Consider the following 20,025-nt stretch of genomic DNA (forward strand, 5'->3'; position numbering starts at 1 on the left):
TTAAGTGATTCAAGAAATATCGATCAGTTCATAAGCTTTTAATTGTTTAACTTTAATTTCTCCAGATGTTTCTAGTGTTACATTCAAAAGATAAATTATCATGATAGCTTAAAATATTAGAAATAACTGGAAGCTACATGATAAAGTACATAAGCTTATTGTTCATGGCCTTTATCCTAGATGTTTTCCAGTTGAGCTCTGCTATTTGCCAGAACAATTTATAGCTTCTCTGGTGTTTCTGCTTTCTCATCTGTAAAATGGGGACAATAATTTTCCCTGCCTCATAGGACTGTTGCAAAGATTAAATAAGATCATATTTATAAAGTACTTAGAACAGGGCCTGGCACATATAACCATCAATCACTGGGAGCTTTTTAAACTGAATCTATTGTAAACAGCTATACTAACCACCTTTGATCCTTCTAGAATCAAATAAATGATTTGATCCTCCCAGAATCAAATGAATTCCTAGAATGAGTTAATTTTGATATTTATGGGCCACTTTTGCTGAATTTCCATACATCTCTCACTCTCAGCAGGGTCTGGAGAATAGGGAACAATGGTTTTCACGGTACAATTAGCTTCAGAAGAAGAAATACACGTACAACACTGCTAATACCATTTAAAAAATATTCTAGGATTTATTTGGTGCTTGGTTATAATTTAATCAGTATCCTGGTATTTTGCAGCATTCTTATGTAAAACAAAATTGTATTTTCTGAATGTCACTCTGCTTTCCTTTGACATACTTTCTTTTCTTTTCTTTCTTTCTTTCTTTCTTTTTTTTTTTTTTTTTGAGACAGAGTCTCATTCTGTCTCCCAGGCTGGAGTATAGTGGCGCAACCTTGGCTGACTGCAACCTCCGCCTCCCAGGTTCAAGTGATTCTCCCGCCTCAGCCTCCCAAGTGGCTGGGATTACAGGTGCCCACCACCATGTCTGGCTGATTTTTTTTGTATTTTTAGTAGAGACGGGTTTCACCATGTTGGCCACGCTGGTCTTGAACTCCTGACCTCAGGTGATCCTCCCACCTCGGCCTCCCAAAGTGCTGAGATTACAGGTGTGAGCAACCGCTCCCAGCCACTTTGACATATTTTCTTTAAGTATAGAAATAATAATTTCAAAGAAATAGTTAGTTTCGTCTAAAAATCTGTCTCACAATCAAGATCAATTCACTTCATCTCTAAATAAACAGGCATGAATTATGCTCACAGAAATTTTACATGGGCTCCTCCTCAATAAAAGAAAGGATTTCGTTATCTTTCCTCCTTCAATGTCAATGCTTCTACCATCTGAGCAAAGAGATACTCTGAAATGCTATCCAAGTCTTGTCTACTCTCACCCTTACTAACATCTGAAAGTATGCTCTAGAAGAGGTCAGCACTTGTTTTTTCTTCCCATATCTGCTCTGGTTAAACATCTGTTAGACACTATGTCCTTTCTGAAAAACCACTGAGAAAGTGGACCCTCTTTGGGTCTGCGTGTGAAGTTGTCAACCACTATGAATTTTAGACTGATGCCATTAAGGATTTCATACTAGACAGCATTTTGTCACCTTACCAAAAATATTTGCTATTTTAAGCATTGTTTTTTCATGGTGAAGGTTAAGAAAAATTTCAACATATAATAAAGAAACAATCTTTTAATTTCATCTTTGCACAGGGTTTCTCTAATTAAAAAGGCAAGAATTGATTAATATGCTGCTTCTGAAAAGGACTCACTGAAGGAAGGTGATGCGCAATAGTAAAAACGACACTGCACGGAGTTCCCTCCTGCTCCCTGAGTTCTCATCCTTGCTCTGCCATTGATGAGCTAGAGAATGTTCGGTTGGTCCCTTGAACTCACCAGCTCTCATTTGCTTTCCATTTGTAAAGTGAGAAATAAAACGGAGACCCTCTGAGGTCTCTTTTCTAAAGTTATATAATTACAGGTACACGTTTTATACCTAATGCATGAACTCCTCATTTTTCAATTCAAGGTTTTTATACAATACCATATTTCTTCTATTTCAGAACTGAAATTAGGAAAATGTCATCATGAAATTTATTTCTGTTTGAATTCCAATTAAAGCTCAGACAAAGAAACTTGAAAGAATTGATTGCATCTCAGAAATACCTGCCACATTTTCGACTTACCAAGCAACCAATCAGAAAGAAGTGTGAGGGCCTATGGATTCCCCACTCTGAATCTCTGTTCATGTGTAACCCCTTTTAATGTAAGCAATCAGACAAATCACTTCAAAACAAAGGTTAGTGAATGAGTCTACAAAAGCCAGAAAAAAGTTTAAAGTATTAGACATAAGCAGTCGGGGAATATATGTAACCTCCATATATCTGAAAGGGCACAAAAAGTTCATTCCAAATGGATCATTCATCATAAAGTCAGGGGTCGAGTAAATAGGGAGTCATAATGAAGGGCTAAGTATGACCCTGGCTAATGTCCTCACACATACCCTTTGAATACACCTACATATGTGCATGAATGCACCATTATTAGCTCTCATTTATGTTAATCCAGTGAAGATGTTGTCATTGAACTACAGTTACTCAGTAGTAATGTTTTGTACCAAAAAATACTAAGTGATCGACTCATGTCTTTGAAGTTGTTTCATAATTCAGAATGAAAATGACCCCAGGAAAGCAATCTCGTATGCCTTCTGAATGACTTTCTCTTGTCTGACCTTTCATTGGAAAAAAATCAACTAACCCTTTGTTGGGATGCTGTGCTAATTATTCAAAGAGGTTTTATGTAATCCTTTCAAATATGAACCAACCGAATTCCCATTAAACTATTCCACAGAAGGCACATGGTTATAGCCATAGACAACCAATGTGACTCTGTGGCCTAATGATAGTTTGTGGTAGAAAGTTCTTGAGCTGAAAATAAATCACAAAGCAAAAAGGCCAGAGGGTGAGAAAGTAAAACCGAGACAGGATTGTTATGGCTATTATTAGTAGTTTTCTTGGCCTATAAATTAGCCAAATAATACAATTCAGAAAAAATAAATAACTTACTATCCTTTTGTTTTTATTACCCCACAAATGTCCACTAGCTTTTCTCATTTGCTACTGCCATATCAATGATGAATTTGATTACATTAAGACCAACAGGGGTCATGCTTCAGGGTACAGTCTGAATTTTTATAAACATCCTTACTTCTCTGAAAGTTTATTTCTTTCAGAGCTACTTTCTATTTTTCAGTTGACTTTTATTATGCTACAAGCCCTAACAAAACAGGAATTTAAATGTTCCTCCAACTGTACTACAAATAATTTCTAATCTCTTTCTTGCCATATGCTAGCAAGTAATATTCAGAGCCTCCCTGTGTAAGTGTTAAGATTTTAAATCTAAGGACAATGATGGGGCATTGTCAGTCTATGTTTTGAAGCTTCCTTTGTGCACCCCAAACAGAGCTCAAGCCTGAAATTGTTCACAATTATATTTGGCATTCCCCGATCTCATTGGATTTGACCAAAATAATTTTAAAGCAAAGTTAATTTACATTTAGTCAGGTTTCATCATAAATTTAAGCACAGTGATAAATCATTAACTAAGCATCGTTTAACAACTCAAATTAAAAAATATAAATATTGATTAGATACCATTTGAAAGCACTATAGTTAAGTTCATTTGTTCTTTGAACAGTTCCTATAAGAAAGGACACTGCAGAGAAAAAACGCCAATATGGTAGGAAATATTTGCAAGTTACATATCTAATAAGGGTTAATATTCAGCACATATAAAGAATTCCTAAAACTCAACAACAGCAAGCAACCCAATTAAAAAATGGGCAAAGAATTTGAATAGATATTTCTGCCAATAAGATATACAAATGGCCAATGAAAAGATGCTCAATATCTTCAATCAGTAGGGAAATATGATTCAAAACTACAGTGAAATACCATCTCAGACCTATACCATTAGGACACTATTAAAAAAAAAACATAGAAAATAAGTGTTGGTGAGAATGTAGAGAAATTGGAATCTTCACACTGCTGGCAGGAATGTAGAATGGCAAAGCCACTGTGGAAAACAGTATAAAGGTTGCTCAAATAATTAAAAATGAATTGCCATATGATCCAGCAATTCCACTTCTGAATATATACCCCACATAATTGAAATCAGGGATTCAAACAGATATTTACACACATATCCATAACTGCATTATGCACAAGAACCAAAATGTGGAAGAAACCCAAATGTCCATCAATAGATGAATGATTAAGCAAAATGTGGTATATACCTACAGTAAAATATTATTCAACCTTTAAAAGGAAGGAAATTCTGGTGCATGTTACAACATTGATAAACCTTGAAGACATTATACTAAGTGAAATAAGCTAGTCATAAAAGGAAAATAATACATGATTCCACTTGTATGAGGTACTTAGAGTTGTCAAATTCATACAGACAAAAAGTAGAAATGGTGGTTTCCAGGGGCTGGGGAATGGGAATTTGATGTTTAATGAGTACAAGTTTTAGTCTGGGATAATGAAAAAGTTCTGGAGATGGATAGTGGTGATGGTTACATAACAATATAAATGTGCTTAATGCCAAAGAACTATATACTTAAAATGGTTAAAATGGTAAATTTTATGTTACGTATATTTTATCACAATAAAAAATGTAACTACCCATATTGTGCTAACAATGTAAGGAGGAGATGAGTGTGTGTATAAAATTAGTACTAGAATATCTGTAATTCAAGGTAAGAGAGATAGCGGCAAGCCACTAGAAATTAAATACTATGGTGTTCAGGGGATGCAAAGATAATATTCAGGGGTTACAGGAAATTTTTCATGGAGTATATAGTTGCTGGAGTTCATCTTTGGAAGATTAATGCAATTTTACTGAATAGAGATGGTGGGGGCAGGTATCCTACAAAAAGTGACCCATACAAACAAAGCATGGAAGCTAAAATCTTGGGGGTGATTTTAGAGCTGTGATTTCTCCTTGTTAGGCTACAGTGTAGAGCAGTGTTTGTCAAACTTTAGTCTTTATACAGATCACTGGGGAATCTTGCTAAATTGTAGACTCTGATTCTATAGATTCTAATATACAATCCAAAATTCTTTATTGCTAATAGGCCCCCTATTAGAAATGGTGATGCCAATTCCACTCTTAGTACTCATGTCTTGAGAATCCATACCTACAAATTAGACTGGCCCAAGATTGAAGGTTTTAAAGGCTGCAAGTTTGTATGAATTTCAGAATTAGTGAAGAACCAGTGAAACTCTTCCGGGTAGAGAAATTATATTACTCATGCTATCCCTTAGGAAGATTGATCCAGCAGCCATGTGTAGGTGGCAATAGAATGGGCAGAGACAGACACTGGGGAGACTGGTTAGGCTCAGGGGACCAGTCAAGAGGCTGTTAATAGAAACCAATCCAGATGTGCCGAAGCCTGAAGAGGCAAGTAGGGGTGAGAATGCAAAGGGAAGACTAAGTGAGGGGACAGTGCAAAGGCAGATGTGTGTCTTGGCAGCTGACAATGCAAGGGAATAGATGAGGAGGAAAAGTAAAAAATGCTAATGATTAGGGTAAACATTCAATCAGGTTAAGTTTATGCCTGTCATCCCAGCATAATTATTTATAGTGCCCCTTTATTAGTCCATTCTCACCCTGCTAATAAAATCATACCTGAGACTGGGTAGTTTATAAAGGCAAGAGGTTCAATTGACTCACAGTTCAACAGGGCTGGGGGAGGCCTCAGGAAACTTAGAATCATGGCAGAAGGGGAAGTAAACACATCCTTCTTCACATGGCAGCAGCAAGGAGAAGTGCTGAGCAAAGAGCAGGAAAAGCCCCTTATAAAACCATCAGATTTCGTGAGAACTCACTATCATGAAAACAGCATGGAGGTAACCACTCCCATGAGTCAATTACCTCCCACTGGATCTCTCCCATGACATGTGGAGATTGTGGGAACTACAATTCAAAATGAATTCCCCAGTCTCAGGTATGTTTTTATTAGCAGGGAGGGGACACAGCCAACCATATCAGCCCCCTTTCACACCAAAAAATGCCCTGGTTTGGCTGATTAAGTAATATGACTGGTTTTGACCACATTACTTTACATACTTAATATTAAGTAATATGGTCAAAACATACTTGACCATACTTTACTGGTTTTGACCACATTACTTAATGTACTTAATATTAAGTAATATGGTCAAACCATACTTAAGTAATAGAAAAGAAATATGGTTTGACCATATTACTTAAGTATGGTTTGACCATATTACTTAAACCATATTACTTAATATGGTTTTGACCATATTACTTAATGTAAGCTTAATGTGTAAAGCTACACCCTAGCTTTAAGCACAGGTGACAAACAGGACATAAAGATGAGTTAGGCTGGTTTGTAGTGGGTAGAGATGAAGTGATAGTCATTCATTCATTCATTCAGTATTTTGCAAATGTCAATTATATGCCAGGTACTGTTCTAAAGTGCTGAGGATACCTAAGTTTAAATAAAAATGACAACAACAAAAAGCCTTGTCCTCCTGTAGTTTATGACTTAGTGGGTACTTACGCATTCTAGAAGTGGGGTGGAGGAGGAAATGGGAAGGCAGCAGGTTGAAGGTGCAAGAATTACAGCTGGGGCAGTGTCAAGCACAGAATCAAGAATGAAGGATTAGCCAGGCACCTAATAGTCCCAGCTAATCAGGAGGCTGAGGATCACTTGAGCCTGGAAGTTCATGGCTGTAGTGAGCTGTGATTGAACCTGTGAATACCCACCACACTCTATCCTGACCAACATAGCCAGACCCCATCTTTAAAAAAAAAAAAGGATTAGAATTTCAAAGGGAGGAAGCTGACAATTTAGATATAGATACGGATTTTTATGGAAGGATGAAGCTTTGGGATTGGGTGAGATATCTCCCTGACAGAGACCAAAGAAAGAAGAGACCTTGGGCAGTGCCTAGGCTTAGGGGACAGAATGAGGAGCCAGTAAGCCTGAGAAGGAGAAGTTAGGGAGGTGAAAGAAGCACCAGGACACTGCTCTATGACAGCCAAGGAAGCAGGGAGGTCAAGGGCCTTCCAAGTAACAATATCAAATGCTGCTGAGAGTTCTAGAAGACAGGCCTGGGGCCACTGTGGGGAAAAGGAGGGTTGGCTTTGGGAAGGAATGAACATGTACTTGGGGGTTGGTCAATAAGATGCTACATGGTATTCAGCACATAAGAAAAACTTACTGAGACTCTTAAGGTGTCCGATTTATTCTAAGATAGTTTTATGTATTTTATGCAATTTTTTTCTATTGTTAGTAAAAACAATCATTTTGTTGTTATTGCTCCTAGAGGCTTGGAACAAAATTAAGCAAAAGCTATAAGCATCTCCTTTTCCATCAATAATGAGTACATATTTTTCCTCACAGGATTACCCTGAGGATGGGTTATAGATAATGCCTGTGTGCTTTAAAAATCTGAAGCAGCAAACAAGAGCCACGTTCTGGTAAAAAAAACATTTAATTTTACTTTGTGTCTTCTTTTGAATGTGAAGAGACATCTGGGAAAAATACTGAAAGTAATAAGAGGTATGTGTGTGACTTTAATGATACTGAATGGAAAAAATACTGGATTTTCTCTGGAAGGTCAAAGGTCTTTTATCTATCCAGAATTGTCGGTACTACAACTGTTATTCTTATTAATTCTATTGATCTTTGCATGATGACAGAAAAATGTTATCGTAGACTCATGGGACTAAATGAAATCTTAGCAGAGCATTTAAATTATTCTCCCCCACCCCCGCTTATACTCTCATCTCCCCCAGGACACACACACACACACAACCACGCAAGCTCCACTTACAGAGGATGAGAATGCATCCTATTTTTAATGCTTTTAGGGAAGATGATATAATATTCCTGGATAATCCATATCACAATAGAAAAGCCTACACTTAGAGCAGGAAGGTGTGTGATCACCTTCTGGGTTATAATGTAGTCCTTTTTTGTTTTTCCCTTGTCCTAAACCCAGAGGTTGGGGCTGGGAGCAGTTTTTACACCCAGCAGAGGAAAACAGGAATTGATTGAATGGGTAAATCAGTAATAACCTATCTAAAAACCAAATGAACAAGGTCCTGTTATTAAAGCCATTCACAATAGCCAATACAATTCTGGTAGGAATGTTGGGTAATTTCTTAGTGGCTGGATGGCTACTTTTACAGCCCTGGGACAATGCTGGTATTAGTTACTATTTGTCCAGTGAAGCAATTGAGCCAAGTTTATTTTAAAGGGGGGTCTCCAGAGTTTCCTTGGTTATCATACTTGTAATTCATGCAGCAAGTTAGCCAGTGGTGTTCTCAGGGAAGTGGGTGGTTAAACTTAAAACTGGCAAAGCAAGCAAGCCCTGAAGCCCTGGCATTTCAGCACCCCCACTCCCTACTGAGACCAGCTGAGACTCCACTCCCAAGGCCAGGCTGAACGTCCACTGTGCCACACAGGGAGCTGTCACCCCAAACATACCAAATGCTTTCCACCCTCTGCACCTTTGCTCTCCCTGTCCTCATGCCCTTTCTCCTCTTCCCACCTGCATTAGTCTTACCTTCCAAGGCCCACCTGGAGCCCCATCTCCTCCACTACACCTTGACTTGCTGTGGTTCTCAGGAATAATTCCATTCTCTGAAAACCTGCACTTCTTATTAGAAACATAGGCCAGGCGTGGTCGGGCGCAGTGGCTCACGCCTGTAATCCCAGCACTTTGAGAGGCCGAGGCGGGCGGATCACGAGGTCAGGAGTTCGAGACCAGCCTGGCCAATATGGTGAAACCCCGTCTCTACTAAAAATACAAAAAATCAGCCGAGTGTGGTGGCGGGCGCCTGTAGTCCCAGCTACTTGGGAGGCTGAGGCAGGAGAATTGCTTGAACCCAGGAGGCAGAGGTTGCAGTGAGCTGAGATGGCACCACTGCACTCTAGCCTGGGTGACAGAGTGAGACTCTGACTCAAAAAAACAAAAAAAAAAAAAAGAAAAAAAGAAACATAGGCTGGGCGTGGTGGCTCACACTTGTAATCCTAGGACTTTGGGAGGCTGAGGCAGGCAGATAGCTTGAGCCCAGGAGTTCGAGATCAGCCTGGGCAACATGGTGGAGCCCCGTCTCTACCAAAAATACAAAAATTAGCCAGGTGTGATGGCATTTGCCTGTGGTCCCAGCTACCAGGGAGGCTGAGGTGAGAGGATCTCTTGAGCCTGGGAAGTCGAGGCTGTGGTGAGCTGAGATCACGCCACTGCACTCCAGCCTGGGCAACAGAATAATACCCTATCTCAAAATAAAAAAACAAGAAACGTGATCTGACATGTAGTGTACTTGATCTTAACTGTCACTTTTTTGTACCATCAGCTCAAATGGACTATAAAACTGGATCTGATTTTCCTTAGAGAGCTCTTATGACAATTAGACTAAGATATCCTATCATATGTTTGAAAGCACCTTGTAAAATAGTCCACATTAAAAATACACCCTATAGTATTTTTTCCTGACATTTGCAGAATTTTTCATAAAAGCCATATAACAATATTTAAAAGGTTAGAAATCAGATCTCTTTACAATGGGGGTTTTAATTGGAAGGATTATAATGCATAATGTAAATTATACTTTCATGTTTGTTCTGGTAGCTCCTTTATTGACATGACCCCATCTCTGATTTGACATTTAATAGGACTTAGAAGGGTAGGAGGTTTTCTGTTTGTATATCACAACATTTAATTGCCTGTTCTCTCACTGGGAAGGCATGAGAAAGACACTTTGTATAATTAAAATAAATAGATAATACTGATGTAGAAATGGATGTAAATATAGATAAGTTTAATCTTCACAACAGGCCCAGGAGGTGGACAATATTCACATCCTCTTTTACAGATAAGGAAACAGAGAACAAAACAGTTCAGTAACTTCCCCAAGGTCACACAGCAGGTGACCAGCTGGGATTCACACCTGGCATTCTGATCCCAGGGTTCACATGCTTGCTTAGTCACTTTACTGTGACAAGGCAGCAAAGAGCTGAGCAAGATTTGATTCCATTTAATTTGAGCATCATTTATTGGACATTTACTAAATGCCAAGATCTATGCTAAGTGCTAAGGATGAAAAATGAATATGATAAGGTCCCTGCACTCAAGGACAATGTTCTCAGACATGACTCATAAAAACACATAATTTTAATACTCTTGCGATAAAATAAATGCATGCAAGACAGAGAAGAGTTACTTATCAGACAGATGTTTTATAGTTTGACTTATTTATTTTACTTAAAATGTGGAGGCCAGGCGCGGTGGCTCATGCCTGTAATCCCAGCATTTTGGGAAGCTGAGGTGGGCGGATCACCTGAGGTGAGGAGTTCAAGACTAGCCTTACCAACGTGGTGAATTCAAGACCAATCTGGCCAACATGGTGAAACCCCGTCTCTACTAAAAATACAAAAATTAGCCAGGCATGGTGGCGGGCGCCTGTAGTCCCAGCTACTTGGGAGGCTGAGGCAGGAGAATGGCTTGAGCCCTGGAATCAGAGGTTACAGTGAGCTGAGACTGCACCACTGCACTCCAGCCTGGGCAACTGAGCGGGATTCTGTCTCAAAAAAAAAAAAAAAAAAGGTGGAGAATACCCCTACCGTCACACACACACACCCCCACCCCCCACCCCCCCCACACACAAATTCAAGTTCATCCAGTTGGTATAGACCTTTCCTCTGTGTGCTTTCTTAGGTAAGACTGCATGCAAACGAGGGAACTGTCTCTGCCCTGGCCCTGAAGCAAGAAATTAGTCAAAGGGGGAGGCAGGAGAGGATCTGGTAAACAGATGCAAGAGAATACAATGGTGTCAATGCTGTCAGAGAAGAAAGAACAAAGTTCCCAGAGAAGCTATTTGAACTAGACCTTGAAGAACAAACAGGCAATTGACAAGCCAAAGTGGGGCTCAGGCAGAGAGGTGTAGAGCAGGCTAGGCCTTTCCAACCAGAGGGTACCCGTGCCAGGTTCAGGTGGGGAAGGGGGGTGTGTTCAAGGTGAGGGAGAAGGAGAAGGTCAGTGTGTCTGGAGCATAAAGTGCAGGGGCAAGGGTGGCACAGCATGGCATGGCAGACAGAATTGGATTGAGTCCAGACAGTGAATGGTCTTACAGGCCTGGCCCAGAATTGTAGACATAATCACAAAGGCAATGAGGTAGGAACAAATTCTAGAAGCAAAAATATCACTGACTGACTTTTTTCTAATTTTAGATCACCTCTACGAGTATATAGGAATGCTATGTTCTGAGGAATGTATATTTGAGGGAACAAATGTCCTCTGAGAAAATAAATTTAGTAGATGCCAAATATTATATTACCTTATCAGAATTTTACAATTTAGACTAATATAAAAATATTAAACACTTTGACCACTTTGGCAGTAAGAAAATCTATTTGCTTACTCCAATCTTCATTAAATTTATTTAACCATTGAATTTTTTTGCTCCCTACCCCCTACAAAACGCCTATTAAACGCTTCACAGTTGACTTATGCTAATAGGCAATAAGGGTGTGACCCAGGAGAGGCTATATACATATGGGCACATACATTACATATTCAGAAAAGCATTCAGAAGAAAATGCTCATAGAATTTTAGAAATTATAATTCCTTGGCTGGGCACGGTAGCTCATGCCTGTAATCTCAGCACTTTGGGAGGCCGAGGTGGGCTGACCATTTGAGGTCAGGAGTTCGAGACCAGCCTGACCAACATGATGAAACCCCCCTCTCTACTGAAACACAAAAATTAGCCAGGCGTGGTGGCAGGCGCCTGTAATCTCAGCTACCCAGGAGCCTGAGGCAGGAGAATCGCTTGAACCCAGGAGGCGGAGGTTGCAGTGAGCTGAGATTGTGCCACTGCACTCCAGCCTGGGTGACAGAGTGAGACTCCCTCTCAAAAATAAAAAAATAAAACTAAAAATAAATTAAAACATAAAAAATTCCTTGATTATATATTAAGGATCTGCTTCTTTAATTACTTTCAAGTGTTTTCAATATTATTTCTTGGAATATGAATAATTCATTCCTCGATATGGTTTTGCATAATGATACATCAAAGTCAAAATACCATCCAATAATTTCCCACACCTGCCCCCTCTAGGGCTTGTCCTTTAAGTTTCCTACAGAGACGGAACTGACTTGTCCATGGCCACAAAGGATGGGATGGTCACATGAACTCCATAAGCTGAAGATCTTCTTGGCTCCTAGCGCAAACGCATAGACCAGGAGACCAGGCTACGCTGCCATCATAAACGAAGCATGGCATACCTTGCAGGCACTGAGTCATGCAGAATTGAATGTTCTTAGTGGAATTATCTGATGTTCTGTGTTCTGTTGGGTAACTTCAGGTCACTTGCCCTGAATTTTAATTTTAATTTCTTTCGAGCAAATTACATTTCAAGTTAAGTCAATCCAGTTATAGAAGTTGTGCCGAATCTCCCTGGCATCCAGGGCTTTTGCGGTGCTGTGCCCTGTCCCCTCCCCACAGGTAACTCCTACTCTCCACTGTCCTCAGCTGAAATGCCACTTCTCCTAGACCCTCCCCACACTGGGCAGATCGCTGATATCAACTCTCGGGATGCCATGTATCTCTTCCTACTTAGCATTGATATCATCTGTAATTGTAAGTTTATTTATGTGGTTATTTGTTTACTGTTGGTCCTTTCAGTAGGCTCTGAAATCTATGAAGGGAGGGACCCTGATTCTGCTCGATATTGCATTGTAGCATCCAGCACACAAATGTTAAGTAAACAAATAAACATGGATTCAAGAACTCTAAAAGGCCATAATTTAAGAGAGTAGAAATTGTGACTCTACATATATTGGCTATAGCCTAGGCCTCATTTGAAATTACAGAAAAATGCGATTCCATTGGTAACAAATAGGCTATCTTATGTTTGAAATTACAGAAGAACATGATTACATTGGTAACACTGATAAGAAATAAATGCTCTTCCACCGATAAGCATTATAGAAAAATGGTATTCCTATGATTTAGCTATTCTGTTGATAGCTAAATAAATATTAGCTATTACTATTATAATTAGTGAACAACGTAAACTTAACTGCCTTTAGTATCATTCCATGATATCTAGCTTCCAGGCAGTACTTTATTTATATACGCAACATAATTGGCATTTACATACTTTAAATATTTTTGGCCTAGTGGGTCTGGGCTGGTCTGGGATGGTGGGTAACATCTAGTTAGAGCTTCCATTATAAATTGAAAAATGAAATATTGGAAATCAAACTTTCAAAATTTATTTAGATTCCCTCATAAGACATTTCATGTTTCTCCCACTATTTCCCTTTCTTTGTCTCACAGACATGCCACATGGGTAGCGTATGCTTCCTTTGAGGCTGAGTTTACCACGGAATACTACACACGGAGAAGAATCTGGCAGTAAGGCTGGCCACAGTGGCTCATGTCTGTAATCCCAGCACTTTGGGAGTCCCAGGCAGGAGAATCGCTTGAGGCTAAAAGGTCGAGGCTGCAGTGAACTCCCACCTGGGCAACAATGTGAGACCCTGTGTCAAAAAAAAAGGTCTGGCAATGGCTTCTGCAGGGACCAGTGTAACTGGCACACAGTCAGTGTTTGATTTGAAATACAAAGCTGTGGCTGGGTGCAGTGGCTCACACCTGTAATCCCAGCACTTTGGGAGGCCAAGGCAGGTGGATCACCTAAGATCAGAAGTTTGAGACCAGGCTGGCCAACGTGGCAAAACCCCATCTCTACTAAAAATACAAAAAAAAAAGAAAAAAATTGGCAGGGCATGGTGGCATGCACCTGTAATCCCAGCTACTTGGGAGGCTGAGGCAGAAGAATTGCTTGAACCTGGGAGGCACAGGTTGCAGTGAGCTGAAATTGTGCCATTACACTCCAGTCTGAGAAACGGAGTGAGACTGTCTCAAAAAAAAAAAAAAAAAAAAAAAAAAAAGAAACACGAACACGAAGCTGCACATTCCCTTTCTAGTCATCTGCATGTCTCATGCACCTGGTACTTTTCTCCTTCGTGAGTTTGTTTTTCTACCAGAAGTTTTCATCCATGAGGAGGTGGAGTGTCGGGGGAGGGGAAGTGGTTTGGCCAGCTAAATGTATACAGCAGGGAGCTCGTTCAAGGGCACCAGGTTCGATTATTAATTTAGCCTGACCAACCAAGACAACAGAAGGCTAGAATTCAAACTTTGATTGCGTGGTTCTATTTAATGTGTCACCTGCAAGATAAATTATCCCTGGGAGAGCAACTTGGTTGGCTAGCCCAGCTCTACAGCAAAGATAACTAAGGCTTAAGGACAGTGTCTTGTACAATGAGGTCTGATCACAGGCTGTACTCAGATAAAAGGAACAGTGACATTGCTTTGAATCTAACAACCAATAATAACAACTAGGTAGCTTCTTCCTTTAGCTTTAACCCTGCTGTTTATTACTTGGTGGCTGTTGAACGGAAATCCTTCTCTTCAGTTTCTAAATCAATGGTTAAAGCACTGTCATGTTGCCAGCCAAGCTAAGAGTCCGGGAAGCTGACTGTTAAATCACAGAAACCACTCAGTAGGGTTTGTTAAACACTGACCAATCCATATTTTAATGCATCTTAAGAGTACTCTGTGTCCACTGGCCCGAGAAAGCAAATGCTTTTGAATCACGTCATTTAATATTAATAAGCTGCAATGAACTTTAAAATGTAGCAGTTATGTACTGTAGCACAAAAGTAAATAATCCTGGAAGTAGAGTAGTACAACAGTGAATTAGCATAAAAATAGAATATACTAATTTGAATTGTAGAATAAGGACTCAAAGTACAGAGTATTGAAACTACTCTAATGGTTTAGTTAATGACACCCACCGTGTTCTACAGAAATGTAGTCCTCAAACTCTTTGATCTCTTCATCCACTGTGGTACTCATATCCTGCCCATCTCCTTAATCCTTACTCCACCCACCTCTACCCTCAAAAAAGACTGCATGCTGAGCAAGGAGGGACTTAGTTAAATGTGCCCAGGGCTCCATGGGAAGAGCATGGGTGGTAAACTAGCAGAGAGCAGATGACCTACATATGGAACCAAAATGATGGCAGAGAATAGAAAGAGACTCCAAAGAATATACATAATCTTTTTCCTGAATCATGTCTGGGTTGATAATAGTTTCAACACACCTTGGAAATCCAGATTTTTAGTTTGGAAGAAAGGTTCGGAATATATATATATACACATGCATGTCTGGATTGATAATAGTTTCAACACACCTTGGAAATCCAGATTTTTAGTTTGGAAGAAAGGTTCGGAATATATATATATATATATATGCATGTCTGGGTTGATAATAGTTTCAACACACCTTGGAAATCCAGATTTTTGGTTTGGAAGAAAGGTTCGGAATATATATATATATATATATATATATATATATATATATATGTAGAAAACAGAAAGGGAAATTGCTCTTAGATGCATCCATAGAGTGTCAAAGTAAGAAAGTTTTCAAAATGAAAAAAAGGCAAAGTGCCTATTTGGTACAGCTGTCCTAAACTGTGAGCACAGGAAAAAAGTAAAATTGATCAGAAAAATAGGAAAGCAGAAGCCAGAGGAACTGGTAACTGAGTAAAAGAGTATTTGCCCAGAATGGTAAAAAAAAAAAAAAAAAAAAAAAATGACCAGCATTTTTACCTGTTTAAGAGCAGAGATAAAGGGGAATGAGAAGGGTAAACCAGATAACTAGATTCTAAAAGCTTAACTTGGCTGGGCGCGGTGGCTCACGCCTGTAATCTCAGCACTTTGGGAGACCGAGGAGGGCGGATCACCTGAGGTCAGGAGTTTGTGACCAGCCTTGCCAACGTGGTGAAACCCTGTCTCTACTAAAACTACAAAAATTAGCTGGGCGTGGTGGTGCATGCCTGTAGTCCCAGCTACTTGGGAGGCTGAGGCAGGAGAATCACTTGAGTCCGGGTTGCAGTGAGCCGAGATTGTGCCACTGCACTCCAGCCTGGGCAGCAGAGCAAGACTCTGTCTCAAAAAAAAAAAAACAAAAAAAAAAAAATTAAAATTAAATAAAAATAAAATTTAAAAAGCTTAAACTTAAGCCTAATGTGTGAGTCAAATTGAGTAATAAGAGTAATAATACTAAATTTGCAATTATTTCCTTGCTTGCGTTTATTCATTTGCTCATCAATTCATTATTTATTCATCAGGTATGTTGATATCAGCTGAATTCAACTGCATGCAAACACAAAGCAGCTTCACTCTCTTTTTCAACATTTTGTCTTGAAACCCTCCCTGTGAACCATTTGTTCCTCACCCTGGATGAAAACCCAAGTGCCATGGTTCTTTGATTCACATAGCTAATTAAAAGTAACCTGGTCACATTTGGTCCTAAGGACAACCTCATTTTCATAATTGAAATATCCAGTCCACTGTAATTATAAAAAGCTTCAAATTGGATCCAAGATTCAAGGTTTTCTTGCTCTTCAGTTTCCCCTTTCTCCCCTACCCTGCTCTTGTTAAATCACCCTGCCTTCCTCAGGGGCTCCAGGAAGAGAAAATGTCTTACATGCTGAGCTAGCGGGTCACATGAGCTCCATATGGTCACCCTCCAGGTATGGTAAATTCCCAAGGCTGATTCTTCTCCAGGAGGGCACATTGCTGGGGTTCTTTCTCAGCCCTGGGTGTGTGGTGGCCTCCCCCATCCAGGTCCCAACAGGCAATTCTCAAGGTGACCTCCTCTGGGGGGGTCGACGTGCAGCCTGGAACTAAGGGACGTGTGCCCACTGCCATTAGTAGGAGGGGTTTCCTCCTAGTGTCTCTTTCTGTTCTCTCATCATGGCAGGTAGACCAAGGCAGAGCCTTTTTGCCTTTATGTTTCCAGAAGTCACCATTTCCTGGGCCCTCCAAAGTCCAGAAAATATACGCCAAGTTCTCTGGTTCTCTTGTGGCACTGGAATCCTGGGGGCCCCTTATCTGACTTGGGGTGAGAGAAAGCCCAGCATATTGACTGCTCCACCAAGAACAGACCTGCCCTCCTCACTCTTCTACCTTAATTTAAACTTTTTTAAAATTTCGAGGTGGCTGATGGGCTGAGAACAGACAGGGATTTTTACAACCTTCTTTGCCAATTCTGCATAGGCCTGCTAATATCTTGGTTTGGTTGGGTTGACAGGTGGAGGGACATGTCACCTAATTTTCTTTCTTTAGAGATGGGGTTTCTGTTGCCCAGGATGAAGTGCAGTAGTGCAACTATAGCTCACTGCAGCCTTGAACTCCTGGGCTCAAGTGATACTCCCACTTCAGCCTCTCCAGTAGCTAGGACTAGAGGTATGCATCACTATGCCTAGCTAATTTATTTTTAGTTTTAGAGATTGGATTGTGCTATATTGCCCATGCTGGTCTTGAACTTCTGGCCTCATGCAATCCTCCCACTTCAGCTCCTAAGTTGCTGGGATTACAGAAGTGCGCCACTGAGACCAGCTGTGCGTAATGTTTTCATCTCAATAGTAGGGAATCTCAGGTGAAACTGACTAAAGTGGTTGTGCTTTATCATGGGGTTATAATGAACAGAAACATTCTAGTCTGTGCCCATGTTTGCTGGCCCTGTGCTAAGTGCTGGGGATTCAAAACAAAACAAAAAACCGTGGTGACTTGTCTCAAGGAGTCCACAGTCAAGGATGCACTCCCCTGTACTGCCCAGTCTGTGTTTAAGTGGTTGTTATGCTGGACCCCTATTCACTCCAATAGGGATGGCATGAGTCCAAGAGGTTGAAGAAGAGATCTGGAGAGAGTGAACGAGATATAAGGTTTATTGGGGAATTTACAGACAGGGACAGTGCAGTGGCAGCAGGCTGGACAGGAGTACCGCTACTGATGGTAAAAAGCCTGATGTTAGTATAACATTTTCACTTAGCACCTTCCACCTAGCAACCTCCATTTAACCCAGCACCAAGGGCCTCTATCCCCTGTATAGCCTGTGTTTCAAAGGATGGGACTGGGGTCCAGATGTCCTTCATGGACAAGGAGTGAAACTCCAGATTGGCCGCTCCCAGATTCTTTAGCTTGGGACTCCAAACACACACTCTCCTTAGACCACAGGGTCATTCTTGGGCTATGCCTCAGTTAAATTATTGCTTTCAGATGCATCGGCCATATGGTGGTCTTTCCTCTGTAAGCACATGAGTGTCCTGGGCTAAGAAGCTGGGAAGGGGAAAAGGACAAAAGTGAAGGGTATGAGGGGAGCTAGAGTTCAATGGTGCCTTTCTATAAGGTGGGGACTGCAACATAGAGTTTCTCTTCCCCAACCACCAGAGGCGTTAAAATTAGGAGGCGAGCAGAGCCAACAGGAGTTGAAAGCTGTGGTCCACCAAGCCCCAGACAAATCTAATGGCTTGGTGAACAGTAGGAACTGAAAACAGACATCAAGACTGAGGTTCTGAGAACTAAAGGAAAACTGAGCAAAAACGACCAGGTTTAGAGCAAGTAGCCAGAGATCAAGAGTGACTGCCTAGAAGAGGCCAGTTTGTGCTTGCCTTTATCCACCAGCAGAGGCATAATATCTTAGTGGATGGGCAAAGTTAAAGGGCCAGGGCAGTGCAGTCACGCACAGGTCTAACCGCAGGGCCACACCCTGCAGAGGCAGCTCTGTGTGGATTTGGAGGAGCTCTTTAGCTGCTGGGATTGTTGCTCAAAGCCTATAGAAGTTGGGGCCCAAGCTGAGTACATACCCACAAAGGAGGAATCTGGCTTCAGAGTTCAGCTAAGTCACATCTCTTCTAGAATGTTGTCATCCATTTGGAAGTCAGTAAGCTGCTGCCCTGCATTGCTAATTCCCCTTTGTAGACACGCCCTATCCTCTGACTTGCACAAGCCTATGGACCTGAAATTACCTACTTGGTTCTCTGTCTAGCAGCCTGGCAGCCACACCAACGTTACTCAGATTAGCAGGCTGAGATCTGTCCCAGACTCTAAGATCAAACCTAATCTCAGTAGCCTTATATGGGAGGCATTGAGCATTGTGTCAGTGTTGCTGCCGGTGCCTTGTGACTTCAGTGTCCTGAGCTCCTAGTACCTCGCTGACTCTTTACATCTTTGCCTCATCAATCCTTCAGTCCTTGAGGTTAGGGGTCCTTCTTTTTTTTTTTTTTTTTTGAGATGAAGTTTCGTTCTTGTTGCCCAGGCTGGAGTGCTATGGTGCAACCTTGGCTCACTGCAACCTCTGCCTCCCAGGTTCAAGCGATTCTCCTGCCTCAGCCTCCCAAGTAGCTGGGATTATAGGTGCCAACCACCACGTCTGGCTAATTTTTTTGTATTTTTAGTAGAGATGGGATTTCACCATGTTGGCCAGTCTGGTCTCGACCTCCTGACCTCAGGTGATCTGCCTGCCTTGGCCTCCCAAAGTGCTGGGATTACAGGCTTGAGCCACCGCACCCAGCCTCTTGAGGTTAGTGGTCCTCCTAAGACAACACCCAGTACATAAGGTATGTGAAACTGGTATGTAAGGAAGAATGAACCCACTAATTGAACAGTTTGAGGAGGGAAAGGGTCCTTTCTCCCATCATTTGAGAGAGCTATGGTGGGAGGAACTGTGGTGGAGGAAAGCAGAGAAACCTTCTGGTGGAGGAGCGAGGGAGTGAGCTGGGCCAGGCCAGGTGCAAATTGCTTCTCACTGCATCCTCTCCATCATCTACCATTTTCAGCTATTTATTTGCCTGCTATACTGTAATAATATGGGTTTACAATCTTTTTTCTATCGTAAACTACAGAGAACATTTTAAAAACACCCTTAATTAATTCACATGAGAAATTAATTATTCTTATAGTCACATTGTTCATTCACATTTAATTACTTCTAAGTGCATAAATAAAATTTAAAAGTTTACTTCCATTAAATTTATATTACATGGTCATATAATCTAATAATTATGCCAATTGCAATTAAAATGAATTTACTACATTAATTTCATCTCATTTATCTTCGTTTATTATGTTTGAGTGTAAGGTAATCTGTAATTATGCTTAGGAAGCAAGAATATCCTGTAATT

At 40.7% G+C, this 20,025-nt stretch overlaps 1 protein-coding gene across 5 annotated transcripts in view, besides 1 other annotated feature; it reads right to left on the bottom strand.

Annotated features, from left to right (window-relative positions):
• STARD13 (StAR related lipid transfer domain containing 13) overlaps positions 1 to 20,025 on the bottom strand; it is a 573,658-nt gene that overhangs the window by 266,704 nt on the left and 286,929 nt on the right. The window lies entirely within an intron of this gene.
• Positions 18,269 to 18,348: an enhancer, noted in NCBI's record as "active region_7579". NCBI's record gives its function as "activates an Ori minimal core promoter by ATAC-STARR-seq in GM12878 lymphoblastoid cells {active_cell/tissue: GM12878}" and the evidence as "EXISTENCE:reporter gene assay evidence [ECO:0000049][PMID:35858748]".

The sequence above is a fragment of the Homo sapiens genome, chromosome 13 (assembly GCF_000001405.40).
Source record: "Homo sapiens chromosome 13, GRCh38.p14 Primary Assembly".
Taxonomy (NCBI): Eukaryota; Metazoa; Chordata; class Mammalia; order Primates; family Hominidae; genus Homo; species Homo sapiens.